Here is a 23,309-nt window from a genome sequence, read left to right on the forward strand (position 1 = left end):
TCAAGAGCTTCCCCTCCCATTAAGATTTTTATTAAGATATTTATTAATTTTTATTTAGTTTGGTAACACCCCTAGGTGCCCTTTAGAGGCCTCCAGTTGGTCACACCCTATGAAGGATTGGCCTGTGACCAATCAGTGGCTGAAGTGGAGACTTGGCTCATGGTCAATTAGAGGCTGAAGTGGAAACTTCTGTCTTGTTATCTCAGGAGCTAGGATGTATGCTGTATGCTGCTTAATGTTGCCTAGAACTGGCTGCACCTGCTGTTCTTTTGCTTCTGCCTTAACCCTTGGTTACCCTAATTCCCAATTCTCCTGCCTCACAATGACTCACACGTTTGACAGTTACCCTTTCTCTTTCAAGGAGGCATGAGAAAACCTCTAATTAGATCCATGGAGGCTGTGGTCACAAAGAAAGCCCCCAATTCACACACAACCCGTGATTCTCAGCCTTCCTGCCCATCTTCACCCTTCCCTCAGCTTGGGGGATATCTAGGATCTCTTGAGAATCTATAAACTAAGAAGACAAAGGGGAAGAAGTTGAGGAAATCAAGAACAAGTTGGGACCACTAAGCCTACCTTTTTGACCCCATCTGTGGTGGGGGCTGGGAGTTGTGGAGTTCTGGCTCCCAGGTGATCAGGCCTTGTGGTAAGGACAAGGTCTCTGATTGTAGGGAGCCTGGCGTGGAGTCCTAGTCTCATGACTTAACCTGCTATATTCTTGGGGTATGTTATTTAATCTCTTGGCACCTAAGTTATTTTACTGAATAAAATGGAGATATGATAGTACTAGCTCTCAAGCTTAGTATGAGAACTAAAGGAAATAATGCATTCAAATGCAAGCCCCACGAGATTAGGGATGTTTATTTCATTTGCACTATAACCCCTGATGCCCACACCAGTATTCTTGGTGCTCAAATATTTGTTGAGTGAATGATGTAGGTAAACCACTTAACGTAGGGCTGGAACACAACCCATGCTCACAGCAACATAGTGGATGTTTTGCCAGAGATGCTTACTGCACTCTGCTTCTAACCTAATCCGACGTCCGCCAACAGTCCTTGTATTTGGCTCTGTCATGCAGAGTTGTGCAGGGGAACTGTGGGATCATGGTGGCAGCTAGATACTTAAGGTTGGTGCTTGGAGCCTGCTGAGGAGTGGGCCCAGCCTGGGTGGGGTGCCAAGCTGATGAATTTCACACAGCAGGGGTCCTGGAATGTTTGAAGAGAGGCTGCTGGGTGCTGGCAAAGGGGTCCATTGGGGAGCTGGCAGGAAGCCAAAGATCCAACATGCTTGGTTTGTTTCAGGAACTTTCCCAGGACTGGCCCAAGACCCAGGAAAGGAGGACGTTTTCTTTTTCTTTTTTCTGTATTCTCTTCCTTCCTGACTGTGTGACTTTCTGTTGCCAAACCACAGAACCAAGCCTCAAGCAATGAATTCTACAGCTGGGCTACATTTTGGATTGGATGTGCTCTTGTTAGCTGGAGAGAGATCTGAACTATAAGTTGACACATTGTTTCTATGAGAAATTCATTCTCAATTCCAAACAGATGATTAATGGCCAAGGTCTCAGAATGAAATCCATTCTGTCCCATGTCCTGGAATCCAGACAAATCAGGGTTTGTCTTGGTGTATGTGTGGGAGGGGCACTAGGGAGTTCTGTTTGCATAATAAAGACCTCATAGGACCCCCAGAGAGGAGTCAAGGTAGACTATGAGACAAACAGCCCCAGTGCAGAAAATTCTTAAACAGATTGGAAGGCCAAGGATACTTTAGCTCCACAACACTGCAAAAAGTGTTCCAGCAGGGGAAAAGCTCTACTAAAGAGTGTGTGTGTATGCACTGGCTTGTCTGAAGACACTCTATTGAGAGTAGCCCTCTAAGTATTGTTCAAATTCCCTCTCAGGAAGATCTTAAGCAATCCAGTGGCACCGTCCCAGGGAAGGAAGGATACAAAACCAGCAGAAAAGGCTGAGGAAAGATGTGTAGCACTAGTTAAACCCAGAGAGGGAAGTCCCCTTTCAGTCATCTCGTCAAAGATTTATCATGCTGGTGGAAGAGTTCTCTCACCTCACCAAGAGGAGCGACTTCGACATGTCAGTATTGGGGATGGGGAGAAGACTGACCATTCAGCAGCCAAGGACTGACCTGCTCACCCAAGGGGAGGAGCCCACAAGTAGTGAGCCAGGACTATGGGTGCCCACAGACTCATCACTGCCAGGAGGACACAGAACACCCACCCCACCCAGTGCCACCTGAATGTAACCCTCTTAGCTTGTATTATTTGGGAGAACTGGAGCTATTCTTATAAAAACACTCCTAGAGAGGGGCTTCAAGATGGCTGGCTAGAAGAATTTCATACCCACCTCCTGCACTTAGAAGAACCAAAATAGGGCTGGGTGCAGTGGCGGCTCACACCTGTAATCCCAGCACTTTGGGAGGCCGAGGCGAGTGGATCATGAGGTCAGGAGATCGAGACCATCCTGGCTAACATGGTGAAACCCCCTCTTTACTAAAAACACAAAAAATTAGCCGGGTGTGGTGGCGGGCGCCTGTAGTCCCAGCTACTTGGGAGGCTGAGGCAGGAGAATGGTGTGAACCCAGGAGGCGGAGCTTGCAGTGAGCCGAGATCGCGCCACTGCACTCCAGCCTGGGTGACAGAGTGAGACTCCATCTCAAAAAAAAAAAAAAAAAAAAAGAAGAAGAAGAACCAAAATAGTATATAGATAATCACACTTCAAATACATTATCCCAGAGAGAATGCTAGAATTCAACAGAGAAATGACAGGAAACATCAAAAGCAGGGGAAAAGAAGGGAGAGAGGCAGCCTGCCTGGCCAGGGGGCATGAGATGGATGTGCGTTCCCCCACTGCCAACCCAGCCTGTAGTCACTGCAGATGACTACACCCTCTTCAGTGGCAGGGCCTTAGCATCAATACTACCATTCCTCACCTGAGCACTCCACCTAGGACCTGAGGATCACCATGGCTCTCACCTTTGGGAGGCCTGAGCACAAGCTCAGCCAATCTGGCTTACCTATCTCCAACTCCAGGATACGGCACACAGCCCAGGGTCCTGGGGATTGCCCAACCCAATCCACCACCTTGAGAACCTGAACACTCCTCCCAGGGATTTGAGGTTGGACCTAAACTCCTGGCACTACCACCTCAGCTGGTGCTAACCAGCAAAGTCCACATGCAGGCCTGGAGACTGGCCTGCCCAGTCCATTGGAGCCACCACCAACATCAATGCATACTGCCTGTGACCCAGAGAATCACCTTACCTCTGCTACTGCTATCACCTATGCCATGTCAGCTGTCCAAGGTGCCTGAGAACCCACCCACTCACCTGGTCCATCGCTGCCACTACTGGAATCTAAGCAAGCCATTTGGAAGCCTAAGAATTGGCCCACCAGTAACCATGAACACAGGCACCATTGTACACCACCTTGGGGCTAAAATATAGGCATATTCAGCCCACAGCTGCCACCATTGGGGCCTGAATATTGGCACACACGGCATGCTAGTCCCCCAACACAACTTCACCACAGCCTTCAGTAATAACCACACCCTAACTCACTAAGGAAAGCACAGATACTACTATGCTGTTTACAGTCAAATAAATCATACAGAGACTACACTACAGCATGCACTCAGAATCAAAGCCAACGTATCCTACCCAAGCAACTCCATAGATGCAACTTCAGAAAAAGTCCTCCCCTGCAAAAGTAAATTCAAAAATGAGAAGAAACAACTGTTACACCAACCATCACATCAGATAGCAACATAAGGACCCAGGAAACATGAAAAAGCAAGAAAATATGACACCTCCAGAGGAACACAATAATTCTCTAGCAATAGATTTTAATCAAAAAGAAATTTTTGAAATTCCAGATAAAGAATTTTAAACATTGATTTAAAGAAGCTCAGTGAGATACAAGAGAATTCTGAAAAACAATACAAAAAAAAATCAGAAAAGAATTCAGGATATGAATGAGAAATTTAACCAAAAAATACATTTTTTAAAATAACCAAATAGAAATTCTGGAAGGGAAAAATTCATTGAAGGAAATACAAAAGCTCGCAATACATTTGAAAGCTTCAACAGTATACTAGATCAGGCAGAAGAAAGAATCTCATTATCTCAGAATCCCTTTTGAAATAATCCAGTTATGCAAAAATAAAGAAAAAAGAATTTTAAAAGAATAAACAAAATCTTTGTAATATTTGGGGCAACATAAAGCAATTTAATATTTGCATTATTGGTATCCTCAAGGGCAAAGAGACAAAGGATTAGAAAACCTATTTAATGAGTAGATGAAAACTTCCCAAGTCTAGCAAGAGATTTAGTCATTCAGTTACAGCAGACTCAGTAATCCCCAAAAACACACAAGGCAAAACAGTCTTCTCAATGGCACATTATATTCAGTCTGTTTAGAGTCAAAGGTAAAGAGTGAATACTAAATACAGCAAGAGAAAACCATCTAGTAATCTATCTAGTAACCCTCAGCAGACTAACAGCAGATGTCTCAGCAGAAACCTAACAGGCCAGAAGAGAATGGGATGGCATACTCAAAGTGCTGAAAGAAAAAAAACAAAAAAACAAAAACCTGCCAGCCGAGGATACAATTTCCAGCAAAATTGCACTTCATAAATGAAGAAGAAATAAAGTCTTTCCCACACAGCAAATGCTGAGAGAATTTGTTTACCACTAGACTGGACTGGACCTATAAGAAATACTCAAGGGAGTTCTAAACCTGGAGGTGAAAAGACAATATTTACCATCATGAAAACACACAAACATATAAAATTCACTGGTAAAGTAATCACATAAAGAAGGAAGAAAAAGGACTCAATGGTACCACTACAGAAATTCACCAAACTACAATGACAATCAATATGAGAAAAAGTAAAGAACAAAGAATATTTACAACAACCAGAAAACAACTAACAATATGACAGGAACGAATGGAGCTTCACATATCAATAATAATTTTGAACATAAAAAAATTAAATTCCGAAAATATAATGGCTGAATGGATTTAAAAACATGATCCAACTATATGTTGCTTATAAGAAACTCACTGTACCAGTAAAGACACATATAGACTGAAAGTAAAGGGATGGAAAGACATATTCCATGCAAACGGAAACCAAAAGCAAGCAGGAGTAGTTATGCTTATATCAGATAAAATAGACCTTAAGGCAAGAACAGTAAAAAACAGAAACAAAAATAAAAAACAAAGGAGGTCATTATATGTTGATAAAGGGATCAATCCAGCAAGAGGGCATAACAATTCTAAACAGACATGCATCCAACTCTGGAGCAGCCAGATTCATGAAGCAAATATTACTAGATATAAAGAGATAGAGTGCAGTACAATAATAGTGGGGGATTTCAACATCCCACTCTATTAAACAGATCATTTAGACAGAAAGTCAACAAAGAAGCATTAAATGTAAACTGGACTTTAGACCAAATGGACCTAACAGACATTTACAGAACATTCTATCCAATAATTACAGAATATACAATCTTTTCATCAATACATGGAACATTCTTCAGAATAGACCATATGTTACTCCACAAAACAAGTATCAACAAATTCTTAAAAATCAAAATTATATCAAGTATCTTCTCAGAGTACACTGGAGTAAAACTAGAAATCAGTACCAGGAGGAATTTTGGAAACTATACAAATACATGGGAATTAAATAACATGCTCCTGAGTGACCACTGGGTAAATAAAGAAATTAAGAAGGAAATAAAAACATTTCTTGAAACAAATGAAAATGGAAACACAACATATCAAAATCTGTGGGACACAGCAAAAGCAGTGTTAAAAGAGAAGTTTATAGCATTAAATGCCTACATCAAAAAGGTAGAAAAATTACAAACTAACAACCTAACAACGCACCTGAAGGAACTAGAAAAGGAAGAACAAACCAAACCCCAAATGAACAAAAGAAAAGAAATAATAAAGATCAGAACAGAACTAAATGAAATAGAGGCTTAAAGAAATACAAATCATTAACAAAATGAAAGTTGCTCTTCAAAAATATAAACAAAATGGATAAACCACTGGCAAGACTAACCAAGAAAAGACCCAAATACACAAAATCAGAAATGAAAAAGAAGACATTACAACTGATACCATAGAAATACAAAAGATCATCAGAAACTATTATGAACAACTATATGCTGACAAACTGGAAAATCTAGGAAATAGATAAATTCCTGGAAACACACTACCTACCAAGATTGTATCAGGAAGAAACAGAAAACCTGAGCAGATCAATAAAAAGTAGCAAGATTGAATCCATAATAAAAAGTCTCCCAATAAAGAAAAGTCCAGGACTGGATAGATTCACAGCTGAATTCTACCCAACGTACAAAGAAGAACTAATACCAATCCCTCTGAAATGATTCCAAAAAAGAGGGAACTCTCCCTAATTCATTCTATAAGGCCAGCATCACCCTGATCCCCAAACCAGACAAGGACACAACAAAAAAAAGAAAACCACAGACCAATATCCCTGATGAACACAGATGCAGAAATCCTCAATAAAATACTAGCAAACTGAATCCAACAGCACATTAAAAAGATAATACACCAAGATCCAGTGGGATTTACACCAGGGATGCAAAGATGGTTCAACACATGCAAATCAATAAACATGATACATCACATTAACAGAATGAATAACAAAACCATATGATCATCTCAATAGATGCAGAAAAGAACGTTGGATAAAATTCAACATCCCTTCAGAATGAAAACTCTCAACAAACTAGGAATACCTCAAAATAATAAAAAACATATATGATAAATCCACAGATAACGTTGTGCTGAATGGAGAAAAGTTGAAAGAATTTTCTCTAAGAACTGGAACAAGATAAGTATGCCCACTTTTAACCAATTCAGCATAGTACTGGAAGTCTTAGCTAGAGCAATCAGACAAGAGAAAGAAATAAAAGGCATCCAAATTGTAAAAGAGGAAGTCAAATTGTCCCTCTTTGATGATAATATGATCTTCTATCCAGAATAATCTAAAGACTCCACCAAAAAAACTCCTAGGTTTGATAAATGAATTTAATCAAGTAGCAGGATACAAAATTAACATACAAAAATCAGTAGCATTTCTATATACCAATAATGAGCTAGCCGAGAAAAAAAAATCAAGAAGGCAATAGCTACAAAAAAAATACCTAGGAATAAATTTAAGGAGGTGAAAAATCTCTACAAGAAAAACTACAAAACACTGATGAAATAAATTGAAGAGGACACAAACAAATGGCGAAATACTCCATGCTTATGGGTTGGAAGAATTAATATTGTTAAAATGACTATATTGTCCAAAGCAATATACAGAATCAACACAATCCCCATCAAAATACCAATACCATTCTTCACAGTTAGAAAAAAAATTTAAAAATGGAACCAAAAAAAAGAGCTCGAATAGCCAAGACAATCCTGAGCAAAAAGAACAAAGTTGGAGGCATTACGCTACCTGACTACAAGGCTATAGTAATCAAAATGGCATGATATTGGTATAAAAATAGACACCTAGACCAACAGAATGGAATAGAGAACCCAGAAATAAAGCCACATATTTAAGAGCCAATTGATCTTTGACAAAGCTAACAAGAACCTACACGGGGGAAAGGACATCCTCTTCAATAAATGGTGCTGGGAAAATCGGTAGCTGCATGCAGAAGAAAAAAACTGGACCCTTTTCACCATCTACAAAAATTAACTGAAAATGGATTAAACACTTAAAAGTAAGACCCAAAATTATAAAAATCCTAGAAAAAAACCTAGGGAAAACTCTCCTGGACTTTCTTATAGGCAAATAATTTATGACTAAGAACTCAAAAGCACAGGAAACAGAACCAAAAATAGACAAATGGGATTATGATAAACTAAAAAGCTTCTGCACAGCAAAGGAAACAATCAACAAAATGAAGAGACCACCTGTTAAATGGAAGAAAATTTTTGCAAACTATTCACTTGACAGGGGACTCATATCCAGAATATATACAACAAACTCAAACAACTCCTCGGGATCCTTGGAGGAATCTGGGAAAGGTATATTTATTTCAGCGGTGCCTCAGTTCCCTGTGCTGTGATGTGAATATGCACTTCCGTCTTCTCAACCTTTTCCCATTTCTATGTACAGGAGTGTTTACTGCCCTTCCTATCACCTTCAAATGACAGTAAAGCAAGACCAAACTTTTTATCATCTGCTCTTCAGCCTCATTATAGACAAGATACGTGTTAATCCTTTCAAAGGCCCAGACACAATCTTGTTCACCTCTGTAACCTCCTCCACTAAAAAAGAAAGAGCAGCCATTTCTATTTAGAATCGTCATTTTCAACCAAGGCTCTTCGTTAAATGACCCAAGGAACTTTTTAAAACACACAAATGGCTGTTCCATTTTCCCTTTACTTCATAAATGATAATAGTCATGGCTTCCATTGATTGAAGGTATATTTTATGCTGGGTGTTGGGTTACACTCCCACACTGGGGTCTCACAACCGAGCCCCCTATTTTATAGAGGCAGCAGCTGAGGCTCAGAGAGATTAACAGTGGGAAGATGGCCCATACCCTATGCTTAACGGAGCTGGCTGGGAAATTGTCCTCTTGACAAATGACTGTTAGGGGAACGCTAGTTATTAGAGAAACAGGAATATGCACCTTTCCTCCCTGCTCTGCCTTAGCCATGGACAGCATTCAAGGACTGGCTATACTGGTGGTTACCTGCGACTCTGATAACTTCTCATTTCTGGAGAGTTATTTGTTTCCTATAACTTACCCCAGAATATCATGGACACACAAAAAAATGAATGCAGAGGCTTGATTTTCAATCAAATTGCTCTGGATTCAATTCCAAGAAGGAGTGGTACAGAATTGGTGTGACTAAGAGCACTCAAAGCCTCAAGCTTTTTACACAGCAAAATACAACTGATTCATGACTGGGGCTTATGAAGCACACAGAAAACATCTGATAAAATACACATTTATTAGAACTTTTTCAGCAGCATTATTTCCAGTTGTTTATCTAATCAAAGTAATTACAGTCAGCACTCAAAATATCAGCAACAAATATTTTGAGAACTCTGGAATAAAATAATCAGTAGTATATGTTTCATTCATTCATCCATCCATCCATCCATCCATTCATTCATTGTTTAACAAATGTGCAATATTAGCACAGAGAGTCAGGTATGCTATTTGCTATGGGAAAGTGTATATTCCTGCCATGGTTCCTGTTGTGCAGACTATACCCACTATTTAAGAGGAGAGCTGGAAGCCAGGCACAGTGGCTCACGCCCGTAACCCCAACCACTCAGGAGGCTGAGGTGGGAGGATCACTTGAGCCCAGGACTTCAAGATCAGCCTTGGCAATATAGCAAGACTCCATCTCTAAAAAAAAAAAAAAAAAAAAAACCAATAAGAATTAAAGAAAAGATCTGGACTGTACAGTACATTCTAATATAAATGTACACATTTAGCCACAGGGCCTAATAAAAAGCTTAATAAGAATGGTTTCCCTTTCTATTCAGGTTCAACTTAGGAAATAAATAGTGATTATAATGATATTTTCATAGAAACAAAAACCCAGTTGAGGCTTTACTTAACTGGTATTTTTTTTTTTTGCACCTTATTTTATGAAGACACAGATTTGGTTTCAGAAATTCAGCTACTGAGCTCCAACTACTAGGGCAGGTGACCACCTTGAATGTCAGGTGAGGGGAGAAATTGCTCCAGGGTCCATCAGCAGAAGAGCTCATTTAATTAACCACAAACTCAATGCAGGACACTGGCACTTAATGATATGGGATTTCCTCATAGACATCACAAATAAAAATGTTGTCTTGGCAGCTAGTGAGAGAACACACATGAAACAGAGAGTTCTGGTTAGACAATGCCAACACACAGAAGGGCCAAACTGAATTGCTTTTCCTACCTTCTGTATTATCTGAGGAGTCTACAGTCAAGTCCAGATGTCTATACAACACATAGTGGCCCCTATCAACATAGCCATTAATCAAATTGACATGTAATATTGAACATTAATTAAGTGCTAATGTGTAAAAATGGACCCAAGAGCGGGGCCTGGATTCCTTTCCTAGATAATTTTATAGGAAATATGAGTGGTGCCTCTTCTTTAGACACGGCTAAAGGTCCCCAGTCAATTCCTTTTCTTGTTGGATCATTTACTATAATGATCACCAACCAAATCAGCAGACATCTTTATTAGCAAATTCAGTAACAGGATAATCTTTCCAAAATTTACAAATATACAATATATTTATAGTATTACCTTCAGACAACTTCAGTGCAAAGATATACATATAGTACATTGTGATAATTATTTGTAAAAATATGAGACGGCATAAGTAAAAAAAGACACACAGGATACCTCCAACTATAGGCAAACAGGGAAAAATATATTTTTTTCATAAAGTACTGAATGTTAACTTTTTTCATCTGTTTGTAAAAAATATATGTGCAAAAGTGTGTTTCTAATTATTCCCTAAATAGCTGGTATAGCTATACTTCAGAGTCTTCTTTAACAAGATTTGCGGTGTCTTTAAAAGTGTCTTCTGTTGCAGAATAGGTTGGAGTTGGGTCTCTTCTCGAAGGAGGCTTAGGCTTAGCAGGGAGCGAAGGTGATGGAGGTGGTGTCGCAGCAACACTTTCCTTTTGCTCGTTCTCCATCTAAGAATACAATGTAACAGGAATCAGCCATTTATTCCCCCAAGGTCACCATACACGGTTTTTCATAAAGAAGACTATTTGTGGCCACTCTGCTCAGAATAATCTAAGTGTGTGTCCAATTTAACCAAGCAAATAATTTCTAAGAAAAAATGTCTGTGCTAAGAAAAATTGTTAAAAATTACCTGTGCATAGATTGGATTTTCAAAGTTGGTAGTTTGTTTAGATTTTCGTTTGAAGAGATTCCATTTTGTCACCTAAATGAAAAGGGGAAAACAAAAACCTCTCAGTAATGGAATTATTTTGTGGGTTTCTTTTCCTCCTGTCTCAGTTTTAAAATTTCTTCTTACTGAAGGGTAAAGCAATTTGGGACCTGGGACCATGTGATTCAGCCCATATGGTAAATTGTTCAATTCCTCCTATGGTCCCTGAACAGTAACTGAAACTCTGGGCTCTTTTAATCGAATGGTTTTAAACACTTCTTTGACTTCAAATTTATATATTATAGAATTTGTGCCATAGTATCTACAAGCAAATCACCTGGTTACCTCAGTACAGAGAGAACACATAAAACAGACATGCACAAGATGCATCTGGAGAAAAAGAGATTTCTGGGGCTGCCTGAAAATTGGGTGGAGATGGCAAAGCCAAACTGTAACTCTTATTCCCTAAAGTAACATTCTTTGGTCAACTCAAGAGTATCCCTTCTCCCTTCATCATTCCCTCCTGTGTCACAATAATAATAACAAAAACATCTAACATTTATTGAGTGCTTACTATGTGTCAGGAACTATTCTAAGAGTTTTACAAGTTTCTGATTTTTTTTAACAAACCCCAGAGGTAGGTACACTTATTATCCTATACTTGCTGAGTCACAGCAAGATTATACAACTAACTTGCAGGTAGAAGGGCAGGTAATGATTACTCAGGGGACCCAGAGGCCCATAAACTGGAGAACCCAAAGATAATCACCCTGGACCATGGTGCGTGGCCCACGCTTTACTGAAAAGTTGCCTGTCATGCTGACTGCCAGATAAAAACCTGGTGGGAGACAAGGGAACAGACAGCCTACTCTCAACAGGAGCTGAGGGAGCCCACAGGTTTTATGGGGTGTCTCTTACTCTGTGACAGCAGGGGACCAGCCTGTGGAGGAGTGGGGAACACAGGGCTACAGAAGTAGAAGAGGTCTTCACTTTAACCCACATTCAAGTGAGAACCTGCTTTGTACATAGTGCCCCCAAGGGGAACATGAAGACATTCAGGTCAGAGCCCTGCCTCTGGGCGCTTACAGTTAAGTGGGGCGGGCCAAAGTCTCTTAGATGTCATTGCTTCAAAATGAAATGGCTAACTTGAAGTTAAGCAATTACTAACAAGAGGAAAGGGACGGTGACTTTCATTTTTGTCTCCTTGGGGGATCCTATGCATATCAATGTAACTTTTGGAAAATGATAGAACTGAATCTTTTTTTTTTTTTTTTTGAGATGAAGTCTCACTCTGTCGCCTAGGCTGGAGTGCAGTGTCACAGTCTCGGCCCACTACAACCTCTGCCTCCCGGGTTCAAGCAATCCTCCCACCTCAGCCTCCTGAATAGCTGGGACTACAGGCATATGCCACCACACTCAGCTAATTTTTGCATTTTTAGTAGAGATGGGGTTTCACTATGTTGGCCAGGTTGGTCTTGAACTCCTGATGTCATGATCCACCCACCTCGGCCTCCCAAAGAGCTGGGATTACAGGTGTGAGCCACCGTGCCCAGCCCATGTTTTTAATTGTTAGTCTTTCAACATATTTATGGATGAAAGATACATTTGTGGGACTCTGGCATATTCAAATCAACCTAGGTGATCTCACCCAAGCGCCTCTACTGCTTTTAAAGCATGCTGGCTGTTAACTCAGTGCCCAGGAGGGAAGAAATACAGTGAGATCCCTGGACATAACATGGAAGACACATTTTAGAGGGTCTCAGCCTCACTAATGTAAAAAAGTAAGAGGAGGAACCAAGGTATTACAAAAGGGAAGAGAAAGAAAGGACTACAATTGGTGAAGATCTGCTCTCCTTTGAAAGAGACTGTCAGTTTACATTTTGTTTCTGATAACAGACATGCAGATCAGAGGTTACAGCCTCCCCACCACAGTCCCCTTCCTGCACCAGCTGGGGAAAATGTCTATTTAGTGAAGAAGATCACTAGACTAGAGATGGACTGAGAAAAAATGTTGAAAATATAAAATAAATCTGGCACTAGCTTGGGGTTGACTCAGGCTTGGAGGACCAAATATATGACATTCAAGCATCCGTGTGTCTGTGGAAAATTAATCTTCAAAATCCATTTTTAATATAGCTTAAAGAAAAAATGTTTAGTCCCTTGAAAAATCTGAAACTGAAAATTCCTTTCTAGACAATATTTATGTATGTCTGTGAGTGTATGAGTGTGTGTGTGTGTGTGTGTGTGTGTGTGTGTGTGACATGAGAAGAAGAAATAAGGGAATTTGAGAAGGTGTACAGAAGCCTTGATATAGACTCTTCTCAGCATCAATTTAGGTCAAATTTTATTTTGATTTAAATCAGCAGAACAGAAACCAATGTTTAAGGTGATAATGAGACTGCCAAGTTACCAAGATATCAATGTTTATAGACTATGAAATTTGAGAAATAAAGATTGTATAAAATGGTAAAATTTCCAACTACTCTTAGACTTTCATTTCTTTACATTACTTCACAAAATTGGTCATAGAATCTTAGAACAGAGACATTCCAGATCCTAGCGGTTCTCAACCAGGAGTGAGTGCACATGTGTTGGGGAGGGGAGGTGATTTCTGGGGTCACACTGAATTAGGGGAGACACTACTGGAATTTAGTGGACAGGGACCAGAAATACTGAAATTCCCTGAGTGCATAGGACAGTTTTGTAGCACAAAGAACTGTCCCACTCAATATGCCAATAGCGCCCCCAGTGAGAAATATTATTGAGGACTCTAGCCCCAGAAGTAAAACAGTTTGTCCAGATTCAAACAGCTATATCTGGTATAGCTGCAAATGCATTCATTAAAACTAATGATATACATTAATACAGAGTTTAATATCAAATATATTTATTGAATTTCTTCCTGCAGACCAAATAGTGTACCAATTGCAAAGGACCTGCAGGCATGTTTAAGAAGCTCCATCTAGTGGCATTTTTTTCTTTCAATCTCCAGTATTAAACACCATCCCTGACACATCGAGGGGAATAACGTTAGTTAGATGATTGGTTGGCCAATAATGAATAGATGGATGATGAATGGAAAAATTAGTGCCATCTAGTGGTAAAGATCTGTAATAGCAGGAGAGCGAAGAACAGCTTGAAAGAATAAAGATGCATGCTGTAGAGAAATCACGGCACACACAGACGGATCTTTCATCTGTATCTTTGACACCGTGAAATCTTTATTCATACTGAGTCAATTTCTCAACTTAAATGTCTCTGGTCTGAAGATACTGGATCCAGAAGTCTATTTGTTCTTCTTTGTGACATGTCCTCCTATGTTACAAGGAACATTATTCCCAACTCGATGTTAGAATGTAGCTTTATTTGGTGGAAAGTTTTTCAATCTATGACTTTTTAAAAAATTATATTTATTAACTGTCAACACATCTTGAGATCTTTGAGCCTTCCAGAATCTCCCTTGTTTGCTTAAGGTTAATAAAAACCCAGTCATCCCAAAGTTTTTCCAAATCCCACATTATTTCAGGAGTCGGCAACTGTTACCTGAGTTCCATCAGCAGCTGGTGAAGTTGGGTTTGTCTCTGGAACTATCTCAGAAGGGTTTATGGGACTTCCATAATTCTTATTATCCACATTTTCAGATACAGTCACCTGTGGACATGTTAAAGGCCTTTACCCAATTTTGAAAGAATTTAGTAGTAAATAAATTTGCTGTAAAGTTTGTACCAACTCTGGCTCTTTTTGCCATCTTGTTCTCCCACAGACATCATCAGGCACCATTTTTATTGCATGACCCAGTAGGCCAGGACTAAACATCACTCCCACCGCCCCAAAATCAAGAGCAGCAACCACTAAGTCACCTCATACCTTAATCCTGGGAGGCAAATACATCCCTCACTGGTCACACTCTCACTTATTACTAGCAATTTCTACTGTATTCTCTATACCTTCTTACTCCCACTGTTGACCAAATTTTTGGATAATCATACTCTAGTTATATACTGGAAGCCAAATCCTAGAAGAACAGCAAGAATAATTCCCCAACCTCACTGATGAACTGAGAATCCTATCTTTGGATCTTAATAATTTCTTTGAATATTAATAAATCCTATCTTCGGAAATTAAGATTTCATAGTACTACTAAAAAGAGGTTGAATTTTTGAAAAGATGAGAATGATAGAATTAATAATCTTCTACGCATTTTTCTATAACATTCATACAATTCCAAGGTTCCCTTTTAAGACCAAATTACCATGAATGCATAATAAACTACAAGGTAGACAATTCACTCCTTTTCCTATATTTTCACATTCATTACTTGTTTATTCTGAAACTTGGATATGCATTTGTATACATGGCCTCATTTTATTTTAAGTGAAGATGTCAAATGAAATGTCGTATCTCTTTTATCATGTGATTAAAGTTTTCATATCTGTTTATCAGAGGATCAGGGAAAATGCTTTCAAGATTTAAACATTTCCGATCTTAAAATCACAAAATATTTGTAAAATAAACATTTCTAGTTTCTGTATTAAAATGTGCCATATCTCGAGTTCAAAAGGAGCATTAGGTGTTAACAATGACAGTTATTCATTGTCACTAAGGCCATAGTTGTTGTGACAAAGGAGATACATGTTCGCAGTTGACAAGCAGTAAAAGTGGCGCTGGGGCTATTGATGCAGACCTTATGTAAAGTTATTCCCTTCACCTATATTCCTATTTCATCTCCCAGCTCTTCTTAAAGATGACGGACTGAATCTCAAACATGCTTTCTTTACTATTCCTTTGCACCCGTCATCCCAGCCTCTCTTCACTTTCACTTAGACTGAACCTGACACCCATCAGGCTCAGCAAATTACCTGGGCTGTACTGCTGCAAAGCTTCACAGACAGCCCCCATTACTTCAGTCAAGCCCAAATTTCATCCTCATCTGTTACCTATTTCGGCATAATTCTCATAAAAACACACATGCTCTCCCTGCTGATCAAGTCTGACTAATCTCCCAAACCTCAATCCCTTCTACAAAACAACAACTCCTTTCCTTCCTAGGCATGGTTAGTGCAGTCAGAATTCTTACACAAGAGCCGGGACCGTGCCCTGTAGCCTTTCTGTCCAAACAACTTGACCTTACTGTTTTAGCCTAGCCCTCATGTCTGCGTGCAGCGGCTGCCACTGCTTTAATACTTTTAGAGGCCCTAAAAATCACAAACTATGCTCAACTCACTCTCTACAGTTCTCATAACTTCCAAAATCTATTTTCTTTCTCCCACCTGACGCATATACTGTCTGTTCCCCAGCTCCTTCAGCTGTACTCACTCTTTGTTGAGTCTCCCACAATTACCATTGTTTCTGGCCCAGACTTCAATCCAGCCTCCCACATTACTACGGATACCACACCTGACCCCCATGACTGTATCTCTCTGATCCACCTGACATTCACCCCATTTCCCCATATTTCCTTTTTTCCTGTTCCTCACCCTGAACACACTTGGTTTACTGATAGCAGTTCCACCAGGCCTAATCGCCACTCACCAGCAAAGGCAGGCTATGCTATAGTATCTTCCACATCTATCATTGAGGCTACCGCTCTGCCCCGCTCCACTACCTCTCAGCAAGCCGAACTCATTGCCTTAAGTCAAACCCTCACTCTTGCAAAGGGACTACATGTCAGTATTTATACTGACTCTATATATGCCTTCCATATCCTGCACCACCATGCAAGAGGTTTCCTCACTACACAAGGGTCCTCTATCATTAATGCGTCTTTAATAAAAACGCTTCTCAAAGCCGCTTTACTTCCAGAGGAAGCTGGAGTCATTCACTGCAAGGGCCATCAAAAAGGCATCAGATCCCATCGCTCAGGACAATGCTTATGCTGATAAATTAGCTAAAAAAGCAGCTAGCGTTCCAACTTCTGTCCCTCACAGTCAGTTTTTCTCCTTCACATTAGTCACTCCCACCTAGTCCCCCGCTGAAACTTCCACCTATCAATCTCTTCCCACACAAGGCAAATGGTTCTTAGACCAAGGAAAATATCTCCTTCCAGCCTCACAGGCCCATTCTATTCTGTCATCATTTCATAACCTCTTCCATGTAGGTTACAAGCCACTAGCCAGTCTCTTAGAACCTCTCATTTCCTTTCCATTGTGGAAATCTATCCTCAAGGAAATCACTTCTCAGTGTTCCATCTGCTATTCTACTACTCCTCAGGAATTTCTCAGGCCCCCTCCCTTCCCTACACCTCAAGCTCGGGGTTTTTCCCCCGCCCAGGACTGGCAAATTGACTTTACTCACATGCCCCAAGTCAGGAAACTAAAATACCTCTTGGTCTGGGTAGACACTTTCACAGGATAGGAAGAGGCCTTTCCCACAGGGTCTGAGAAGTCCACTGCGGTCATTTCTTCCCTTCTGTCAGACATAATTCCTCGGTTTGGCCTTCCCACCTCTATACAGTCCGACAGTGGACCGGCCTTTACTTGTCAAGTCACCCAAGCAGTTTCTCAGGCTCTTGGTATTCAGTGGAACCTTCATACCCCTTACGGTCCTCAATCTTCAAGAAAGGTAGAATGGACTAATGGTCTTTTAAAAACACACCTCACCAAGCTCAGCCACCAACTTAAAAAGGACTGGACAATACTTTTACCACTTGCCCTTCTCAGAATTCAGGCCTGTCCTCAGAATGCTACAGGGTACAGCCATTTAAGCTCCTGTATAGACGCTCCTTTTTATTAAGCCCCAGTCTCATTCCAGACACCAGACCAACTTGGACTGCACCCCAAAAAACTTGTCATCCCTACTATCTTCTGTCTAGTCATACTCCTATTCACCGTTCTCAACTACTCATAAATGCCCTGCTCTTGTTTATACCACCGGTTTACACTGTTTCTCCAAGCCGTCACAGCTGATATCTCGTGGTGCTATCCCCAAACCGCCACTCTTAACTCCCTCTTAAAGTAAATAAATAATCTTTGCTGGCAGGGCTATGCCGAACCTCCTTGGGCACTCTCTAATTAGATGTCCTGGGTCCTCCCAATTCTTAGTCCTTTAATACCTGTTTTTCTCCTTCTCTTATTCCATTTACTTTTTCAATTCATACAAAACCGTATCCAGGCCATCACCAATAATTCTACACGACAAATGTTTCTTCTAACAACCCCACAATATCACCCCTTACCACAAAATCTTCCTTCAGCTTAATCTCTCCCACTCTAGGTTCCCACACCGCCCCTAATCCCACTTGAGCAGCCCTGAGAAACACTGCGCATTATCTCTCCATGCCACCCCCCCAAAAATTTTTTTCTTTGCCCCAACACTTCAATACTATTTTATGTTATTTTTCTTATTAATATAAGAAGGCAGGAATGTCAGGCCTCTGAGCCCAAGCCAAGCCATCGCATCCCCTGTGACCTGCATGTATACACCCAGATGGCCTGAAGTAACTGAAGAATCACAAAAGAAGTGAAAATGGCCTGTTCCTGCCTTAACTGATGACATTCCACCACAAAAGAAGTGAAAATGGCCGGTCCTTGCCTTAACTGATGACATTACCTTGTGAAATTCCTTTTCCTGGCTCATCTGGCTCAAAAACTCCCCCCCACTGAGCACCTTGTGACCCCCACTCTTGCCCACCAGAGAACAACCCCCCTTTGACTGTAATTTTCCTTTACCTACCCAAATCTTATAAAACGGCCCCACCCCTATCTCCCTTCGCTGACTCTCTTTTCGGACTCAGCCCGCCTGCACCCAGGTGAAATAAATAGCCTTGTTGCTCACACACACAAAAAAAGATGACTGAGCAACAAGGCTGCAACAAGGAAATTTAGATATCTGCCCATCAACTCTAGAGACCTTTGTACTTTTCAGAAAAGTATGGCAACAGCAAGCATAAGAGGTCCCTCTCCCTTTAATCCACCTCAAACCACATGCTTGGGATAGCAGCAAGAACCAGAGAGTGGGCCCCGTCCCCAAATTCCTGTATAGTGACCTGACAATTCTCCACTCATTCATTTCACAAGTATTTGTAGAGAAGCTGTGGTGCTTCAGGCACTGTGTTTCCCAGGCCCCTGAAGGGACTCAGACCTCTCTTGCTCTGACACCACTCAAAATGAAAGGTTCTTGGCCAGCAGCCCCGGCATGGCTGCCAAACCTCCACCACTGTGCAACAGAACAGGATTCTGATTGTTTTCAGGTCTTATGTCCTTGGGTTGGTCCTGTTCCTGCAGATAGGGCAGCTGCAGCATGGACCACTCACTATGCTTCCTTCCCTTTGGAGGGAAGGTTAGGAAAATCCTAAGACATGACTCAATAGATTAAGATCCAGCGACAGCAGTAACTGAAAGAAAAGACTGTATGGTTTCTCACCTGGATTGGCTGAACCACTTTGACAGCACTGTCTCTGGCTGAGTACATTGGGTTTTCAAATATTATGGGCTGCTTCCCCATTTCCATGACAAAGTCTTCACTCTGATGGCAGAGACAGAAAGAGAGAGAGAGAGAGAGAGAGAAACAGAGAGAGAGATTACACCATACTAATCTGGTTCACACACAAAGAAAGGTGCCTTCCTCACACCTGGAGGTACGCTAGGTGCTACGTCATAAGTTACCCAAAAGAGAACTTGCAAAAAAAAAAAAAAAAAAAGGCCAGCAAAACACAAGACCTCCATATGGCAAATTATTATGCAAAGTAACATAACATGCACTAATTTACCAACTCAAGGAAATGGTAACATTCTTCTTATATCCAAATTCTCTTAAATAACTCACTTGGGAATTGGGTCTGGGCCACAGAGAAAAGGATAATGGTGGAAGAAGAAAAGAAGAATAAGGAGAGAGGGGAAGGAAAAAGAATGGATAATATAATATTCTCAGGGAAGGAAAACAATGAAAGATTTGAGGGAGAGACAAAATTCTGAAAGTGGTTTCCCAATACTGATTACAGAAAGCCCCCTCAGTGCCAAGACTGTGGCAGCCCCCTCATAAAGTATTTCATTTGGTCCTCCCAGGAGGTATTATTTTACCTGTTTTACAAATAGGGACAATGAGGGTCAGAGATATCAAGCTCCATGTCTATTGTCACATACTTAGTAGGTGGCAGAGCCGTGGTCTGGACCAACGCCAACTCTAAAATCACTGTTTATTTCATCACTATACATTGGCAGAAAAATATATGACACTAGGAAAAATATAGTTCCCTACTCCTTTTATACATATAAAAGTCATCAAATAAAAACAAAATATCATGTCCTCCTCACACACCACCCTCAAAAAAACCAGAAAGCTCTTCAATATTCAAGTTAAACTTCAGACTGTTCATGATTCCAATTCAACAGCGTGGCTTAGAGCAGGGGTAAATTCCAATGTTATTACCAATGTTTTTAGACACCTTTCAGCAACAAACCTAATGTTTCCTAACTTGTGTAGTGCAGACCTTATTCTGAGAGGCCTAATACTGTATTTCAGTCTTCTCTAGGTGAATTTTGTTCTTTATAAAAAGTATTTATTCTATAAATGACAACCTTCAAATAATCATTTTGAAACCATACTCACCATTGCCATTGACCTGTCAATAGCAGTCTCAGGTCCAAAACCAGACACTCCAATATCCATGTTAAGATCTGCCCCTGATCTGAAGGTCACCCCATTCCCATTTTCAGAGGGCTTGACGAGACTGCTTAAGCTGGAAAGAAGTAACCAAAACAGTGTCTTGTTATTTAAAACAACAACAACAAAAACAACAAATACAACCTTTCACAATAGTACCCTCTCCTCCACATTGCCAAATCTTCCTCAAATGTAATGCTCAATTCCCACTCTAAATTTACACTGTCAAATATGGTAGTAAGTTCCCTTAGCTACCTGGAAACGTTAAAGCACATTCCTGAACCATGAGATCTAAAAGAAAAAGAGTCCAGCACATAGAAGGATAAAGCCTGGGCCATCACACAGCTGCCTTTTCACTCCTCTCTGACCTGAACACCTACCAGTAGGCACAACCATTTGGACTACAAAACACAGCTTGTCACTCAGGCTTTAGAGAAGCACTTGACTAAGAAGTTGGGATTTGAAGTGACTGCTTTACATCCTCACTACTTTTTGTTTCTGTGGAATCGGTGAACTGCGTATTGTGCTTTTTTAACTTAGAAAGAAAACTAAGTCCTTCACATGGCTTCATATGAATTTCTTAGGCTTCAAACATCAACGTTCCCCATAATGAAACTGACCTTGGCAGCTTGGGCAGAGCAGGCAAAAGGGAGCCGGTCCTTCTATAGTGGAAGAATCCTGCAATTGCCAGAGCTCCAATTACGACGATCAAGAGGATTGTCAACAGCACAGCTACTGCGGCTATAGAAGAAGATAGCAGAGAGCACATCAACACATGGGAGCCCGCAATCCTGGCAGAAACTGGGGGCTAGAACCACTCCTTCAAAGACTGGGTTAAGTAGAAAAGCTGTGACAGCATTCAATGTAGGGGCCATGAGTAATTTCCAAGTTGCTCACATTCTTAAAACTTACTTGTTCCTGGAGAGATGCCTTTTGAAAACGCCATTTCACAATATTTTCCGGTGTAGCCGCTAGGACACCTGAAAGGAAAAAGCAAATCATTCACTAGCTGTTATGTTCTTAGGCTTCTACTGCATTTTTCTGAGCACATCCTGAAGTAGAGAGAGCTTTGACTGCATAAATTACATGTTGAACAGACAATGTATCCTGCATGACTTTTGTTCATTCTGCCAAGAGAAGACAAGCAGAAAGAACAGTGCTCTGATTTTAGAAATGCACTTGTAATGGAGTAGCTGTGGCACTGAGGGGGTGAGTCTGGCCACGAAAACCTATTGGTGTCTAATCTATGCAATGCTTCCTTAGAGAGTACAAATGGAAACCATGGTTATGTTTCTTTCTTTTATATGCTTTCATTAAATGCTTTTTAAAGACATCCATTTATCTTGCTCCATGTTAGAGTTTTCGCAACACAGTCATCTTCTTTCCGAATCCATCCCAGTCTTTCTGCTCATCACGAGTGCCTTGTACTAAAGCAGCCCTGCAGACAGCTCTTCTCCCACAGCCCTGTTGTAATCAACAATACCAGGTGAGTAGGAAAATGCTGCTGCCAATTCTCTAACTCCTTGCTCCCCAAAGTGTGGTCCAAGACCCTGTGGCCTACCTAGAGCTTGTTAGAAATGCAGAATCTCTGTGCGTGAGAATGGGCACTTGAACCAGATCTCCACGGGATTCTTATGCACATTCTAGTTAAAGAAGCACTGCCTCAGTTCTCTGTAGACTCCCTCAAGGGAAGGCAAGCTGGTTAAAATGTAAGAATTAGTGAACTGGTGAGGTTCCTGTATTTGTTTTCCTGGCTACTTTAAGGTCTCAAATTTCCCCAGAAGAGGCAAGGCCTATAGCTGGGACCTCAACATTCAGACTTACTTGCATTTGGGGAGGTCAGTCTCATCAAAATAGCAATTTCCTCCGTGCATGCACCTGCATGGGGGGGGCAGGTTGATAGGCAGTTCGATGGCTGCAGGAAGGGAAAGCCATGCAGGTGTTAGTCAGCTGTACTCAGCAGAGTGCCCACACCATGCAAACCGGCCCAGGTTAGGGGTGGGAGGAGGGGCAGGCCAGCCAATTAGTCTCCCTGTCAAAGCTTACCTTCCCCCTAAGTCCAGTGAGTTTCCTTAAGGTCTTGGAGAGTAACATACATTTAGTGGAAAGAAAGGGGGCAGTTTATAGAATTTTTCCCAAAAAACAATGGAGAGGTACTAGACTCTGGAGCACATATATTAATAGTTACAAGAACCTAGTGGTAAAATAATCTCTTAAAATATTCACATTCTCATTTGAAGTTTTCAGAATTCTCCTCCGTGAACCCAGTTAAAATCAAGAGTTTAATGTAGGCCCACCTTGAAACTTCAACTAAAGACACCAAAGCATCAGTAATTGATCAGTCCACAGGCAGTCACATAGCTACAGATATAGAGATATTTGATAGGCAGTTAGCTAGAGAGCTCCTGAGTTTTCAAGTCCTCCCAAACTGCCCTTACTCCAAGTCCCTGCTCCCAGCTAGGCCTGTACATACTCCCAGGATGTGCCTGATGGGGAATTAGTGCTTCAGTGTCTTTTATATTGAAGATGCTTAATAAGTATAGGTTACATGTGTATATTATTTAAAGAGTCTAGATACCCTCCTGGCTCAGTCCTTCAATCTGAGTCTCCACTCAATGTTCACTGTATCAGACAGGTCTTCCCTGAACACTATCTAAAGGACAATCCCCACTCACCCCATCCTCATCCCTCTTCCTCTGCCTTCATTTTCTCCATAGTACCACCTGAACTACCATGTATTTATTGACTTCTCTATTTATTGTCCTCTTAGAATGTAAACTCAAT

General features: G+C 40.8%; 1 protein-coding gene across 4 annotated transcripts in view, besides 2 other annotated features; it reads right to left on the minus strand.

Moving 5' to 3' along the window:
- Window positions 3,169-3,327: a silencer, noted in NCBI's record as "fragment chr2:169977784-169977942 (GRCh37/hg19 assembly coordinates)". NCBI's record gives its function as "represses an EF-1alpha promoter that drives an FKBP-Casp9 reporter gene in an ReSE screen in K562 erythroleukemia cells {active_cell/tissue: K562}" and the evidence as "EXISTENCE:reporter gene assay evidence [ECO:0000049][PMID:32094911]".
- The window catches only part of LRP2 (LDL receptor related protein 2), a 235,426-nt gene continuing 221,120 nt past the window's right edge, over window positions 9,004-23,309 (minus strand). For all 4 annotated transcript variants that reach the window (XM_011511183.4, NM_004525.3, XM_047444340.1 and 1 more), the window contains 8 exons: window positions 22,350-22,440; window positions 21,438-21,505; window positions 21,146-21,266; window positions 20,472-20,601; window positions 19,287-19,388; window positions 14,469-14,576; window positions 10,908-10,979; window positions 9,004-10,725 (listed from right to left, as the gene is read on the minus strand). In XM_011511183.4, the coding sequence (XP_011509485.1) occupies window positions 10,558-10,725; window positions 10,908-10,979; window positions 14,469-14,576; window positions 19,287-19,388; window positions 20,472-20,601; window positions 21,146-21,266; window positions 21,438-21,505; window positions 22,350-22,440 (860 nt within the window). In that variant the 3' untranslated portion in view covers window positions 9,004-10,557. The remainder of the gene's footprint in view (window positions 10,726-10,907; window positions 10,980-14,468; window positions 14,577-19,286; window positions 19,389-20,471; window positions 20,602-21,145; window positions 21,267-21,437; window positions 21,506-22,349; window positions 22,441-23,309) is intronic.
- Window positions 18,147-18,660: an enhancer, noted in NCBI's record as "NANOG hESC enhancer chr2:169992762-169993275 (GRCh37/hg19 assembly coordinates)". NCBI's record gives its function as "activates a minimal SCP1, AML or CMV promoter by ChIP-STARR-seq in naive H9 embryonic stem cells {active_cell/tissue: H9 hESC(naive)}" and the evidence as "EXISTENCE:reporter gene assay evidence [ECO:0000049][PMID:30033119]".

This window comes from Homo sapiens, chromosome 2 (genome assembly GCF_000001405.40).
Source record: "Homo sapiens chromosome 2, GRCh38.p14 Primary Assembly".
Lineage (NCBI taxonomy): Eukaryota > Metazoa > Chordata > Mammalia > Primates > Hominidae > Homo > Homo sapiens.